This window comes from Homo sapiens, chromosome 10, assembly GCF_000001405.40.
Source record: "Homo sapiens chromosome 10, GRCh38.p14 Primary Assembly".
Classification (NCBI taxonomy): domain Eukaryota; kingdom Metazoa; phylum Chordata; class Mammalia; order Primates; family Hominidae; genus Homo; species Homo sapiens.
Genome location: NC_000010.11, coordinates 113,978,658 through 113,992,916, shown reverse-complemented (window position 1 = coordinate 113,992,916; position 14,259 = coordinate 113,978,658). Strand labels below are relative to the sequence as shown.

The window sequence follows — 14,259 nt, the reverse complement described above, 5'->3', positions numbered from 1 at the left end:
CATTGAATAGTGACAATTCTCACTTTTGTCCAGGAATCTCCAGAGAGGTTTTACAACATCGTGACTAAGACTCAGTCATGTGCTGGCAGCTTCCACAGGCTAAAGATTGACTCCCCCCAGAGCCAGAGGTGGCTCCATAAATTGGGCAGAGCCTTATGTAACCCATGTAACAGCAACCAGGTGTCTCGAAATCTTCCAGCCTTCAGGCTCCCTCCTCCCCATCAGTGCGACGCTCACTGGCTCCCAGCCCCATCCCGCATCCAGGAGCCAGCTTGCATCCACTCCCAGATTTCTGCAGATTCCTGCTGGAGCCTTGCGTTCTTCTCCCAGTCCTTGCCTCAGCAACTTCCCTGATTGGGTTTCCTCACTCGACAGCTTGCCTTCCTGGACCCCTCTCTCTGCCTGCCTCTCTCTCTCACCCACCCAAATGTCGAATGCAGCTTGCTTTCCACAAGACACCCCGCTACAAGACTGTGGCACTTGGCCGACTTTACTGATGGCCTGGGGGAGATGGGGCGGAGTTGCAACAGAACATGACGCTGCGGTGACCTCTGTGTGCTTTTCCCTCCCAGGACCTCGGTCTCCTGAAGTGGTACTAGTCCCCTTTTGTTCCTGGGAACGGGTCTTGCTGTTCCCAGGTTTTCTCCCATTTTCTCTAGCCTCCCTGGCTATCCCATTCGTCTCTGCTAGACTGCCCCCAAATCTTTACATTCCTCACACTTTATTTTGCTTCTGAGCTTTTTCCTTTTTTAAATTTTCTTTTTATTTTTTGAGACAGGGTCTCGCTTTATCACCTAAGCTGGAGTGCAGTGGTACGATCCACAGCTAACTACAACTAAACTCAAACTCCTGGGCTCAAGCCATTCTCCAGTCTTGGCCTCCCAAAGTGTTGGGATTACAGGCATCAGCCACCGCACCAAGCCTGCTTCCAAGCTTTCTGATCTCACCCTTCCCCAGGCAGACTATGTTCACAGGCCTCTCCTCCCTCCTCCACCTGGCTCACAAAACCAATAAGGATACTTTTATCCTCAAGAATGAAAGAAAGAAGCAACAGTCTGCAGCAGAGAGGAATTATGCCATTCTTCTAGAAGGCAGCAGAGGCCCCCATCAACAGATTGGGTATTAGCTTTATTTCTCACTAAGCCATATCGCGCTCTTTTGGTCTAAGATCATGCAGGTTCTTTGTTGCACTGTGATCTAGGTTCAGGTACATAGTAAGTGTCTCTTATATGCCAGACATTCTAGTGGGTACTACAGATACAAGAGTGGACAGGACTGACAAGTTCCCTGAACTCACGCAGCTGAGGCAGACAGCCACATGCGGACTGTGGAAAGCCCCAGAAAATGCCTAGGCCCCACTCCAACAACATCCTATTTTACCTCTCTGGAAATTCAAGTTGCATGGACAGTAGCCGTAAAGTCTTGGAGTCATCATCCAGCGTCTACTCTGGTTCTGCCTCTGCCCCTGGCCAGGGGCTGGTGGCCAGTGCTGGGGACACACATTCACCATCCAGGTGGTAGCTGGAGAAGAGGCGAGAGATAACCTGGGGCCCAGAGAGATCAAGGCTGAGACCGCAGAACACCCACAGAAGCCGCGGCATTGCATTCCAATTTCTGTTTTGTGACCACATCTATGGACTCAGAATGAGGCATGGGGGAGCCACAGGAGCCACGCATGCCACAATTATGGTTTTCAGCAGTTGTGCTCTCATCATTGTGGTTGGGCAGAGAGGCTTAGAACATGTACAGAAGAGAATGATTCTGAGCCTGCCAAGTGCTAAAATGCAAGGAAGCAGTTTAAAGCAGCCTCAGGGAGAAGAACCAGACCCTTCCCTGGCTCCCATGAAACTGGCTGAGACAGAAACCACTGGACTTTATTCTGTGTTTTAAAATTCTATATGCTTTACTTTCATTTCTTCTAGAATTTTCTGCTGTGCTTTCACTGCTATTTTCCAAAGGCATGAAAATAAAATCACTGGTTGACAACAAAGAAGCCACCTAAAACTTTGGTTCTGACCAACATGTGATCTAGACGAGAGCTTCTCAAGCTCACAGGCACATGAATCCCCTGAGGATCTGGTTCAAATGCAGATTTTAATCCAGTAGCTCCAGGGTGGGACCTGAGATTCTGCATTTCTGACAAGCTCCTGGGTGGTGCAAAGCTGCTGGACTGCGGGCCACCTGGGTCTACCAACACCATGTCTATGGTTCGGAGTCATGATGGGATAAGGACAATGGAACACCCGAGACAGGACAAGAGGCATATGTCAGTGACCAGGAGAGAAACAGCCTTTCTTTTCCCTCTGCTCTTCCCAAGGCTGCAGTTTGTGCTCCTGTAACTGGGTCTGATCTGCTGATGTTCATTCTCACCCTTGGCAGGCACCCTGGTCCCCTAGAATATTCCCATCCTTCAAGGAGGGAGCCATGTTTCCGAGACCCTTTACCTTTAGTAAGAAGAGCAGCTCTGAGTTCCAATATAGAATTTGATTTTTTTCTCGAACCAAAGTTGTATGGCCTTGGCCTGGGAAGGAATTACTCTCCTTATATTGCACAAGAGGAGATATGATTTATAATAGGCCTGATTGTTTCCTTGTTTATTCTTCACAACAAATCTGCAAGGAGTTCTTTCTATCTCCATTTATAGATGGGGGATACTGAGGCTCCAAGAGCAATCAGGTGACAAGTCCTAGGTCACGCAGCTGATCATCTGCAGAGCTGACTCAACAGACTGAGTTCTTTCTATCACATCTCACTGCCTTTCACTTATGCAGTTATTTAAAAAGCTTGGGGCTTGCCTGGATTTCAGACACTCTGAAATCCATTATTTCTGACCCCACTACCAAACAGAGTGACCCTAAATTGCTAAAGAAAAGAGATGAGTCTTTAAGTACCAGGCAAGATTTATTAAATAGACCAGTGGATTTACCCTAATGAACTTTTTGAATTTCGAGGGTAAAGAAAAAAAAGCATTGTAAGCATCCAGGAAAATTATTACAAATGAATAAATATCAGTGTGAATTTATAATTTTCCTGCATTACATGAAACAAAAGAAGCAACTGAACAACATCCACATAATTTGGGAAAAAATGCTTATGAACTACTATTTCTACATTCAGCCGAGTAATGGTCACACACACTCAGATATTCTAGACCTCAGAAAGTCAACCACTTACCTGCCCTGCTGAAAAAGTTACTCAAAGAACTGACCAGAAGCAGTCAAATGACAGATGAAGTAAAAAAATCACTTAAGAATGGGAAGGACACACAGAATAAGTGTATAGGTCTTAAACTATGAAACCAGTTAAATATAAGTAAATCCAAATAATTATTGCTAATATGGTTATAAAAATTAAGTAAATATTAAAATAATTATTGAAAGAGAACATATACATTATTAGTAACAGTAATTTAATCCAAAAATTCCACATTGATCAAACCAGAGCTGAGAATGGTTGGAAGAAGAAGAAAGTAAGTAATATACTAAATATAATATTTTACATAAGAGAAAGGTAATAGGTATTATTTCATTCTTGTCATTACTAATTAGAGAAAAATGAATTTAAATGAATCTTAACCAGTAACATAGTTAGAGAGGATACATTGCACTTTTTCAAAATGTTAGAAGGAAAAAAAATAAAACATTATCAGAAAGAAAAATATACCTCAACATGTCCAGACGTTGCTCCTAAATAATGGAATGATGTGTGATTTTATTTTCTTTTTACTTTTTTGTTTATAATGTAATAAACATGCATCATTTTGTAATGTAAAAATAAAACTATAAAACTATTATAAGAAAAATGTGCTCCTTTTAAAAAACTACATATAGATCTAATACTGTACACAGTTCATCACACTGAATAGCCGTGCTAACTAGATTTTTTTCCTTTTTGGTCATCTGTAGTCCCAGCATGAAATTTACCTGTTTCAAAGTCTCAGATGTGGGAATGAATAATTGATATATCTGGAACCTTCTATGAATATATCAGATGGCCTTTACTTTTGCAAATAGCATCAGATGGAGGGAAAAATTAATTACCTTACCTTGAGAGCTGTGATCACCCAACCACCCAGACAGAACCTTCTCCTTTAAGCACTTCATTTTTAGCTCTTTGAAAGTCATAATTACCATCATCACTACCATCATCATCATTATCGTCATCAACACCATCATCATCATCATCGTATATGTTTGCTGAACAACTATTATGTGCCAGGCTAGGTACCTAATATCTTTCATACATGCTCTCCTGTTAATTCTCACTACAACTCTATGAGGTGAGAATGCTTGTCCTCTTCTTAGAGCTGAGGAGACAGGCTCAGAAAAGTTTAAGTTGCCTGACTGATGATTGATGATTGATGGCTGATGACGACTTACAGTGATTTTTAAAAAGTATGAACATTTTATTTCAGTAATACAACAGACACTACTCACTTTTGGACATTAGAGGAAAGAAAGAAAATGTCCAATTCCACTGCCCCCACAGAGCTGTACAACACAGCATTTCATTATATTACTGTGATTCATTCATTCTTTCACTGGAATATTTAACAAATACATGGTACCCCATTCTGGGGAGGCATAACCCTAGGAACTATGAGGTCTGCACAGACCAAAAGGGTGAGTTTTCTAGACAAATTTAGGAGAGGATAAGACAAAGATAACTATCATGCAAGTCAAAAATGGCAAATGTGCTAAAAACAAATGCAAAATGCTATGAGAGCTCAAAGAAGTGACTACCCCTAGGGGGTGAACCTGGTTGAGGGACATCTTCACAGAAGATACCGTGTTTATTCCCTGAACTGAGTAGTGACCCAGTATACTTCAGGTGCAGGAAACAAGAGAGGTTACAAGGCTCGCAGAGGGAACTGCAAAAACTCCAATCTGACTGGAGGGAGGTGCAGCCATGGGCAAAGAGGGAAGGGTGATTGTGCAAGGGGGCCCTAAATGACTCATCAGAGGCTTTAAACCTTATACAAAAGGTGCTGGGGATAAGTTGTGACAAAGTAGGATATGATCACTGTTGTGTTTTAGAGAGAGTAACTTACCAATGTTAGGGGGTGCAGGGGAGATTGGATAAAATGAAGAGTAGGAAATGGGATCTAGGGAGGTTGAGGGTCAGCTCTGCACACTGAATGAATGGAAAAGCACAGGCAAGACCAGCCCTGCATTCTAAGCCTGGGTAACCAAAACCCTCACAATGGCCTAGATGGCCTGCCACTCTAGGGTCCTGTATTAGTCTGTTCTCATGCTGCTTATAAAGACATACCTGAGGCTAGGTAATCTATAAAGAAAAAGAGGTTTAATGGACTCATTTCCATGTGGCTGAGGAGGCCTCACAATCATGGTGGAAGGTGAAAGTCACATCTTACATGGCGGCAGGCAAGGAGAGAATGAGAACCAAGCGAAAGGGGTTTCCCCTTATAAAACCATCAGATGTCATGCAACTTATTCACTACCAAAAGAACAGTATGGGGGAAGCCGCCCACATGATTCAATTATCTCCCACAGGTCCCTCCCACAACATGTGGTAATTATGGGAGCTACAATTCAAGATGAGATTTGGATGGGGACACAGCCAAACCACACAGGGTCCTCACTACCCTCAGATCTCCTTTCCTTCTTTCCTCCCCCTTGCTCCCTTGACTCCAGTAGCATGGTTTCTTCCAACTCCAAACACTGGACATCCCCAGCCATGAGGTCTCTTGGCTTACAAGCCCTTCCCAATGTATTTGCATGGTTTGAGCTCTTGCCCCCTTCAAATCTTTGCTCTCGTGTCCCCTTCTTGCTGAGGTCACGTAACACCACTATATATTTGACTTCCTTTCTCATTAGAATGTTGGCTCCATGGAGATGGGTTTTGTCTGGTTTGTCCATTTTGGCATCTCACGGCTGGCACAGGGTAAGTGCTCACTGAATATTTGTTCAGTGGTGATGGTGACATGGATGAAACCTGGGGCATCAAGGAAGAGAGCTGGCACGGGCAGCAGGAGAAATGAGGGTTTTGGTCCAGAGCATTTGTTCTTAGGTGTTGGTGGGGGGCAGGCAACTGGGAGTGAGGAGCCGGGTTCCGCCTGGGAGCCTGGGATTGGGAGCTGTTCACATGGAGACAGACATAGAGATAACTTGTATCTGGAGGGCAATGAGAAAGCACTGTGGGTACAGCTCCAGAGGGACAGGATAGGAACCAGGAATATCGGGTTTTGTAAATCAAGAAGAGAACATTTCAAGACATAGATAATCAAATGTGACTCGCACTGCAGAGCCATCAAAGAGAATGCCAAGGAGGCTTGGGAGTAAGGAGAGGCCATTTGGAGGTCACTCGTGTCCTTTCAGTCGGGTGGCATAGGCAGAGACCAGGCCACATTAGGATGTTAGCTCCATAAAGATGGGTTTTGCCTGGTTTGTCCACTGCAGCATCCCGCAGTTGGCACAGGGTTTTGAGTGTTGAGATGTGGCTGAGGTGGGATGTACTGTAAGTGCAGAAAGCACATGGGACTGTGAAGACTTAGAAAAATTAGGAAAAGCGGATGCAATATATCTTATTAATATTCTTTCTATTGAGTGCACGTTGAAATGATAATTTCATTTCAAACATTAATGGTTACATTAATTATTAAATAATTATTAAAGGTGACATTAGGATATATTAGGTTAAATGAAATATGTTATTAAACGTAGTTTTACTTTCTTCTGGTTTTTAATTTTTTTAATGTGATTACTAGAAACTTTATAATTACACACGTCTCCCATCATATTTCTATTGGACAGAGCCGGCCTTGTCTGCCAGGGATTAATATTTACCAGCATATATTCATGTATACTCTCTCTTCTTCTCTCCCTCTTTTCCTTCCTTCCTTCCTTCCTTCCTTCCTTCCTTCCCTCCCTCCCTCCCTCCTTCCTTCCTTCCTTCCTTCCTTCCCTCCTTCCTTCCCTTCCTTCCTTTCCTTCCTTCCTCTCTCTCTGTCCCTGTCTCTCTCTCCTGCCTCTGTCTCTTTCTAGAAACAAATGTCTTTGGCCAGCTACATTGTTTTCTGAATGGACACCTGAGTAGTTAATCTTCCATTCTCAGTAAAAATAGATGCTTTTCATATCAAATCATCAAGTTGCTTTAGCATTAAGCTGCCTGGAACTATATTAAAGTCAGTGATAAGCAGTCCATTAGCTGTACCAAGCTCTTAGGCTCCCTGGGAGCAAAAGAAACTGCATAAATGAAGTTTCTTCTACACTAAGCAGCAAATAAATGAAGGCCTTTGAAGAAACCACCTACGTGAAGTCCTGGAATTGTAATTACCCAACCCTCCAATTTGGCAAACAGAGGTTTTCTTACAATATAACCATCTCCCCAGTAATGGGCCCTCCCAGTAGGAGGTAGCGAGACTGTGGGTTGCATGGCGCCAAGACAAAGACGTTTACTGATTTGGACACTTGAACCGCTGCTTAAGAAGGAAATTCCCAGTGTTCATCTTGGCTGGGGTCAGGAATTGTTCTTGGGCCCTGTGAGGTCAGGCTTTAGCCTTTATGTATCTGCTAGTGGTGCAATGAACTTGCTTACTTTTCAGAAAAAGAAAAAGACACTTAAGTTTCTTCTACTCCCTTCTGATTTCTACAAAAAAAAAAAAAAAAAAGTTCAGTATTAAAATACAAAGACCAGAGCGACCTTTTTCTCAAGCTAATGAAAGGAAAGACGTTCCTTATTCAAATATTTATTAAGGAACTTGGGGTTACCTCTGATCGTTAACATTTTCTAATCAAGGAGCAGTGAAAATAAAAACAAGATTAATTGATGCTGTCTTAGGTTTGCAAGGCTCCAATCTTGGCTGAAGGACAAAGAAAGAATTATAGAAGATCCCCAAGGAATGGTCTCTTCTAAAAAGAAGGAACCTATTTTACAGCCTGAATCTTAGCTGGGAAGCAAGACTCACTTCAACATTGACAATGTCATGTTCCAAGTGAGGCAGAGTAGAGGTCAGAGTTTTCGCTGGCTGAAAACTGATCATTTTCATGCCAAGCTGTTGAATGATTCTGGCCATTTCAATATGGCTGGGTTCCTTGGAGAAGACGCTGAGAAGAGGATTCCTGTGCTAATGATTGATGCAGAAAATCCTCTAGGAGCTTGGGGAGCAGGATAAGGAAGGGGAAGAAGCTAAGCACAGGTTCCATCTCCAGCCAAGTCTCAACCTAGGCTCAACCCCACAGGGGAGCTCTGGAATGTAAATTAAACCTTAGAGTCAGTTCGTACTTGAGGCAGGGGAGCTGGCCTTTCAGCCCCAGGCTGTGGTCAGTCATTGGTTAAGGGTCAACCTGGGCAAGGTGAGCTTCCAGGCGCCCACCCCCACCAGCTGTCTATGAGCATGGGCAAAGTGGCTCGGGTCACCCAGGAGAGTTTTCCTCAAGAAACCAGGTGTTGGGCACACGAGGGAGATTGGTGGTATCTGGGTGTGGCACCATCAATGTCTGCTGCATCGTAAGTTTGACCTGGACAAAATCTTCATGTCTGCGGCTATTCCATTTATCTGCCTTCTAGAGCTCCCCACCGTGAGATCTGGGTTGGGATAGGTAGTGGGAATTTGCTGATTTTGGTTGCCCAATTTCAATTCCCCATTTTAATCATTGTAATTTAATTATTAAAGCAATTTAGCAATATTAAAGTAATAGTAATTTCAGGAAACTCTTCTCTTTCTTGGTCTGTATCTGTTGGCAGAGATGATCAACACAGACCCCGGAGACGGGTGTATATGTCAAATTCTAGGCAATCAGCACATTCCTCTCTCTCTGGCCCAGTGACTGGTTCAGGGATGGTGCCTTGGCCAGCAGTCAGATACAAGGAATTACTCTGGCAGTTTTTAATCAGAAAGGTATTCAACACAAAGCAACAGGTGCTCATGAAATCACTGGAAGGACTGAAGGAGCAGGCTCTGGCTGGGTTTCCTGAAAGATGCCCATTGCCCACCAGTGATCAAACAAGAAGGCAGAGAGTGAGGAGGCCCCCACTAGAACCCCTGTATTCAAGAATACATCCAGTTGCTACAGGCTAGGGTTCTGAAGCTTTTCAACATCTGAGAAGCTAGAGACTGGACACTGAAACAACCGTCCTGGGCCAGGAGCCACAGCAAGAAAAGAGTGCCTCTCTCACGGCTGTCTTTCAAATCTCACCCTACCACATCCTGTGGCTGGGACCTGATGTGCTTGCAGAACCCCAGCTTAGAGGGAGGCTGTGGATGTATATTTCAGTTTTCCAGCCTTTGCAGTATACGGAAGCCCCAGAAGGAGGTCAGAGTGGGCTCTGTGGGCCAGCTCACCATGTCCCCTACCCTAGATGGGCACATAGCCCAACTCAAGCTACAGGGGTCAGGGCAGGACTTTGGTCTGGCTAACGAGGGGAAGGGAAGCCCTCTTTGTTTCCTGCTGGATGTGAACATGAGAGGAAGTAGGTTTGGAGCTGCTGGAAGCCATCTTGACATCATATAAGGTCTAAGAATGAGACTAGTACGTAGCAGAGGACAGAACCAGTTTGAGAGACCTACAGAGGCAAAGAGAGGGGAGGTGACTTATTTCAGATCATCTAACGGTGTGGGCGGAGGTGGATCTAGAACACCAATTGCCTGACTCCCAGGCTATGCCTTTCCCCACCATGCAGCCCCTGCCTCTGCTTAGAACCTGTGGTCGCTTTGCTCTGGTCAGCAGCACTCCTAGCAGCCACGGAAGGGTTTCAGAATCCCTCTTTATTAAATAAAGTAGCTGACTGATCTGACCCCTCCCAGCAAGTGGAGCTGCCTGTAGATGGGGCCTTAGCAGAAAAGCGCTCAGAACACATTTTTGCAGCAGACCTGGTGGAGCTAGGGTGTGTATGAATAACTTATAGCTGGAGCCTGCCCCGAGGAGCTCAGCACTAGCTTTGAAAACACCCTAGGGGTTCTCTCCGAGTGGCACAGTGAAATGTGGCCACACCGGTTCAGGCTATTTTAAGCTTCAGAAACCAAGAGAGGTGAGGGGGGGTGAACCAGTGGGCTCTGAGGGCAGTTGAGTTCCAGGCAGCTTTCTCTGTGCCTCCAAGGTCATCTTGGGCCCTTCCCCTGTCACTGGGACCTTGCCTTCCTCTTCTCTCTTCCTTCTGAAAGGATGGGAAGGAAGGGCCCTTCTGACTTCAGGGGGCTGAGCCAAGAAGGAGCCAGAGTGGGAGGGGCTGGAGCACCTGGTCCTGTGGACTCAGTTCAGGCAGTGAAAAGGCAAAAGCATTGCCAGCCAGATCCTGAGCAATATCTTCACACTTATTTATTATATTTATCTTATTGAATCCCCTTAATAATTCTTTGAGGTAGGTAAAACCATTCTCTCCATCTGTCACAGGAAAAAATAGAGGTGCAGAGAAAGTAAGTAGCCTGCCCAAGGTCATACAGCACAGCTGGGGTTTCAAACCAGGTGGGTCCAAACTCCTAACTACTATGCTGTGTGGCCTCAAAACCCAACAATAATCAGAGCTAACTTCACTACATATACACTACTTCCTATTCCTCCCAACTGCTCTAGAAGTTCCATGGCATAAGCCCCAATCTTCAGATTAGGAAACTGAAGCTCAAAGAGCTTAGAAAGTCTGCCCAAGGACATACAAGTGAAACACAGCCGCAGTTCCAGGACTTGAACCCACTTCTCTCGCCATGGCCTGGGTTCTTACTGTTGTATTGTGAACAGATTTTTAGTGTTCTGAAACAATTTCACATCTTTTCATAGGACACCAACTTCAATCCCCTCTTCATTTTACACTGCAGAAACTAAGGTTCTAAAAGTTTAGATGGCTTGTCCAAGGTCACACAACTAATGGCTAGATGGGCTAGAACCCAGACTATGGACTTTTCAGCAGTGTGTTAACAAACTTTTCTTTCCCATGGATTTACATTAGAATTTCAGGGATATTTTATCTTCCTTTCTAGCTAATCTTCATTTCACAGTGGCTTCCACGACTTTGGCTTTGGGTTTCTCTGTATGTTTGCCTTATCCTCTGTCAAATAGTTAATGATCTGTAATGCACAAAGAGGAGACTGAGGTAGGGTACCTGTAATTGCAGCAGATATTTCTATTAGGAATATCCTCCTTTTCAAAACCTGGACCTTCCTGTAATACAGTGTTGACACCAGAATCCTTTGCCACTGAACCACACTGTAATACATAGGCCCCACCATTGTGTCACTCATAATCCTTTGCCACTGAACTACACTGTAATACGTAGGCCCCACCATTGTGTCACCCATAATCCTTTGCTACTAAACTACACTGTAATATTATACAGGCCACACCATTGTGTCACCCATAATCCTTTGCCACTGAACTACATTGTAATACACTGGCCCCACCATTATGCCACTCATAATCCTTTGCCACTGAACCACACTGTAATATGTAGGCCCCACCATTATGTCACCCATAATCCTTTGCCAATGAAGTCCTAAGCACAGCTGCACTAAGACACAACAAATTCTGGTAGGTACTGCTTTATACTTTCCTTGTAGACACTTGTTTGGGGCCTGGAAAGGGTAAAGCAGTGAGAGAGACAAAAAGCCAAAAGGGGGAACCAATAGACACTCGATGTGACTTGCTTTTTCTTGAGTACTTTAGATGATACCATTTTAAATATGGTCACAAGGATGGCCAGAAGTCACATTTTCATTCCTTGATTTACCCTCATCCTTTCAGTAAATCAACAAATATTCATTAAAGCTTCTCTCTGTGCCAAGCACTATCAAAGCCAGGCACTGAGGGTACAGCAATGATCAAATTGGGTCTGTCCTCTTGGAGTGCACAGTCTACTGAGAGAGACAAAAATGTGGATTCCCAGCTCCACAGCTGTGTGCTATCACAAGGACAGGGTCAGTGAAGAACAAAGTATGTGGCCATTGGCTCCTGCTTGGGTGGGAAGCGTGCTATGCTTGAACTTTATGGAGGCCCAGGAGGTGGCCCAGCAGCTCCTCAATGGTGGGTGGGTGGTGGTGGGTGGAGGGGCATTTCAGGCAAAGGGAATGTTACATGAAGGCCTGTGGCTGGAATAAGCTATGAGGGTGGAGGATGGATAGGTGGGTGAGGAAACTGCAAGAAGCTGAGTATTTCTGGAGAGAAAGGATCTGGAGGGAAACTGGGGAGAGTGGTTGCAGAGGGAAGGATGGGGTTGAAGAACATGGCAGGTTGGGGTTTGGAAAGTCCTGGGTATGGAAACGAATTGATATTGTCTTTTGGGGCAGTGATGAGCATTGAAGAGGGTAAACAGGAATGTGGCACTACCACCTTTGTATTTTGGAAAGCTCCCTCTGGCTGTGGGTGGAGGATGAGCAGGACAATGAGTGAGACCAGCAACTGGGAAGCCATTTGGAAAGGATGTCAATGACCAGAAAGAGGAGTGAAATGGCACCAAGTGCCTCCACTAGAACAGAGAGGTGGAGACAGGGACAACGTGAGGCATGAATTGAGATATTTAAGGGGAAACCAAGAAAGGCATTCAGAATAAGTGCCAAACTTTTGAACTAGGTATTTGGGTGGCATGCACGCTATAAAAGGGAGAGAAGCTTTCTGAAAATACTAAAAAAAATAATATAAATGATTATACTATACAGGAAGTTAGGAAAAGAGAGAAAAAAATACCCACCACCAACCCTATCACTGCAGCACAACCAGTATGCCTGTTTTGATTTATTTCCTACCAATAGTTCTCGCTAGTTTGTAACCCAAAATTAATTTCTTAGGTGGCTCTTTTTCTTCAATATTGGATGGTTAATGGGAAACACTGTCTGCTCCTTGAAGCCCAGGAAAGACTCACTTTTTGACTTATTGCTGGAGGCTCCATTCCCGTTTGTTATTCTGAGAAAGGCCAGATTTCTTGCATATCTAAGAGCCAGTCACTTTGACCCAGGACTTGATGGCAAAGATTTTACAGTTTCGTTTGTTCTATAGCTTGGTGCATCCAATTACTTGTTCCCTTCTACCTCCCCATGGGCCATAAAAATGATCAAGTAGATGGAACACCTTATACCTTTGTGTCCTGGAAAATTCAGCCTGGGGTGTCAAGAAATGACAATATTCAAATCAATCCTTACGGTGGCCTGTGAGGCCCACTTCTTGGAGAAGTTGGAAAATCGGTTTTTCATTTAGTACTCTGGCGTTTTCACTGCCAGGATCGTCTCTGAGCACAGTTCAGCTTCCTGCCTTGCTCCACAAGGAGTGTCCAGCCTGGAAAATAAATGGTAATTGATGAGAGGCCTACAGAAAATTTGCCCTGGCTCTGGCTGGCTCTAGTGGGTCAGAACAATTCGCTATTGGCAAGCTCTGAGCTTTTCATAGGCATGGAGAGAAAGCCGAAGCCTTCTTTGGGGGAGGTATTATGCAGAATGTCAGCAGCCTTGGCTTTTAATAAAAGGCCTCAGGGGACACCAGACCGTGCCCTAATTCTGGGTTATCAGGCCTGAGGGTGATCTTAGGCAAAGTAGACATTTGATGGAGAGAAGCAAGTCGGGAAGAAGAGCCAAAAATCAGTTTGCTAAATGGGAGTGCAGTTTTAATGGAGCTTTGGCAAACATAAGGCCAGTGGATTCATTCCTTGGATTCTCCCTTTCCTCTGCGGCTACGAGGAGACTTCCGTCTCCTGGATCTCATCTGCTGGGAAGCAAAGTGGTGATCAATGAATTCAGGGCAGGAGGGAGATGAAAAGTAGCAGATGGACAGTGAGGAATTGGGAAAACGCTGATGACCAAAAGCAGGCGCTGGAACAGTCTTTATCTCTCACATGCCCTTGTTCAGGGTGAGCCGGATGGCATCCAATGCTATGTTCTCTGGGGTTTTGCCCAGGCTAATTTTACATGACAATGGCTGCTCTATGCTCTTTCATGGAGCATTGGAATGGCTTTGCATGTCCCATGTGGCCTGGCGGCCAGAGCTGGAAAAGGCTCCCTCTTGGACTTCCGGCTCAGCCCAGCAACCCGGCGAGGGACACAGGCTGAGTTACCCAGGAGGCCAGACGAGCATTTCCCCTGGCCGTCCCCACTGCTCTTACAGAAGGGAGCTTTCACCAGTCACATGCAGGGCTGTCCAGAGCACAGTGGGTCACTGTCCCTGACCACTGGGCTTTTTCAAGCTGGATAAAATGAACTTGGACTTTTCACTCCACTAGGTCACGAGAGATTTTGCAAGACAGTGTGTCACAGTGTTTGCGTGGCTTCCCGTGGGCCTCGCTTTTCACATTTTGTCCACGTGAAAATGCCTGGTGCAGCCCGAG

General features: G+C 44.9%; 2 annotated features.

The window, feature by feature from the left end:
• Positions 9,421-9,490: an enhancer, noted in NCBI's record as "active region_4077". NCBI's record gives its function as "activates an Ori minimal core promoter by ATAC-STARR-seq in GM12878 lymphoblastoid cells {active_cell/tissue: GM12878}" and the evidence as "EXISTENCE:reporter gene assay evidence [ECO:0000049][PMID:35858748]".
• Positions 9,591-9,670: an enhancer, noted in NCBI's record as "active region_4076". NCBI's record gives its function as "activates an Ori minimal core promoter by ATAC-STARR-seq in GM12878 lymphoblastoid cells {active_cell/tissue: GM12878}" and the evidence as "EXISTENCE:reporter gene assay evidence [ECO:0000049][PMID:35858748]".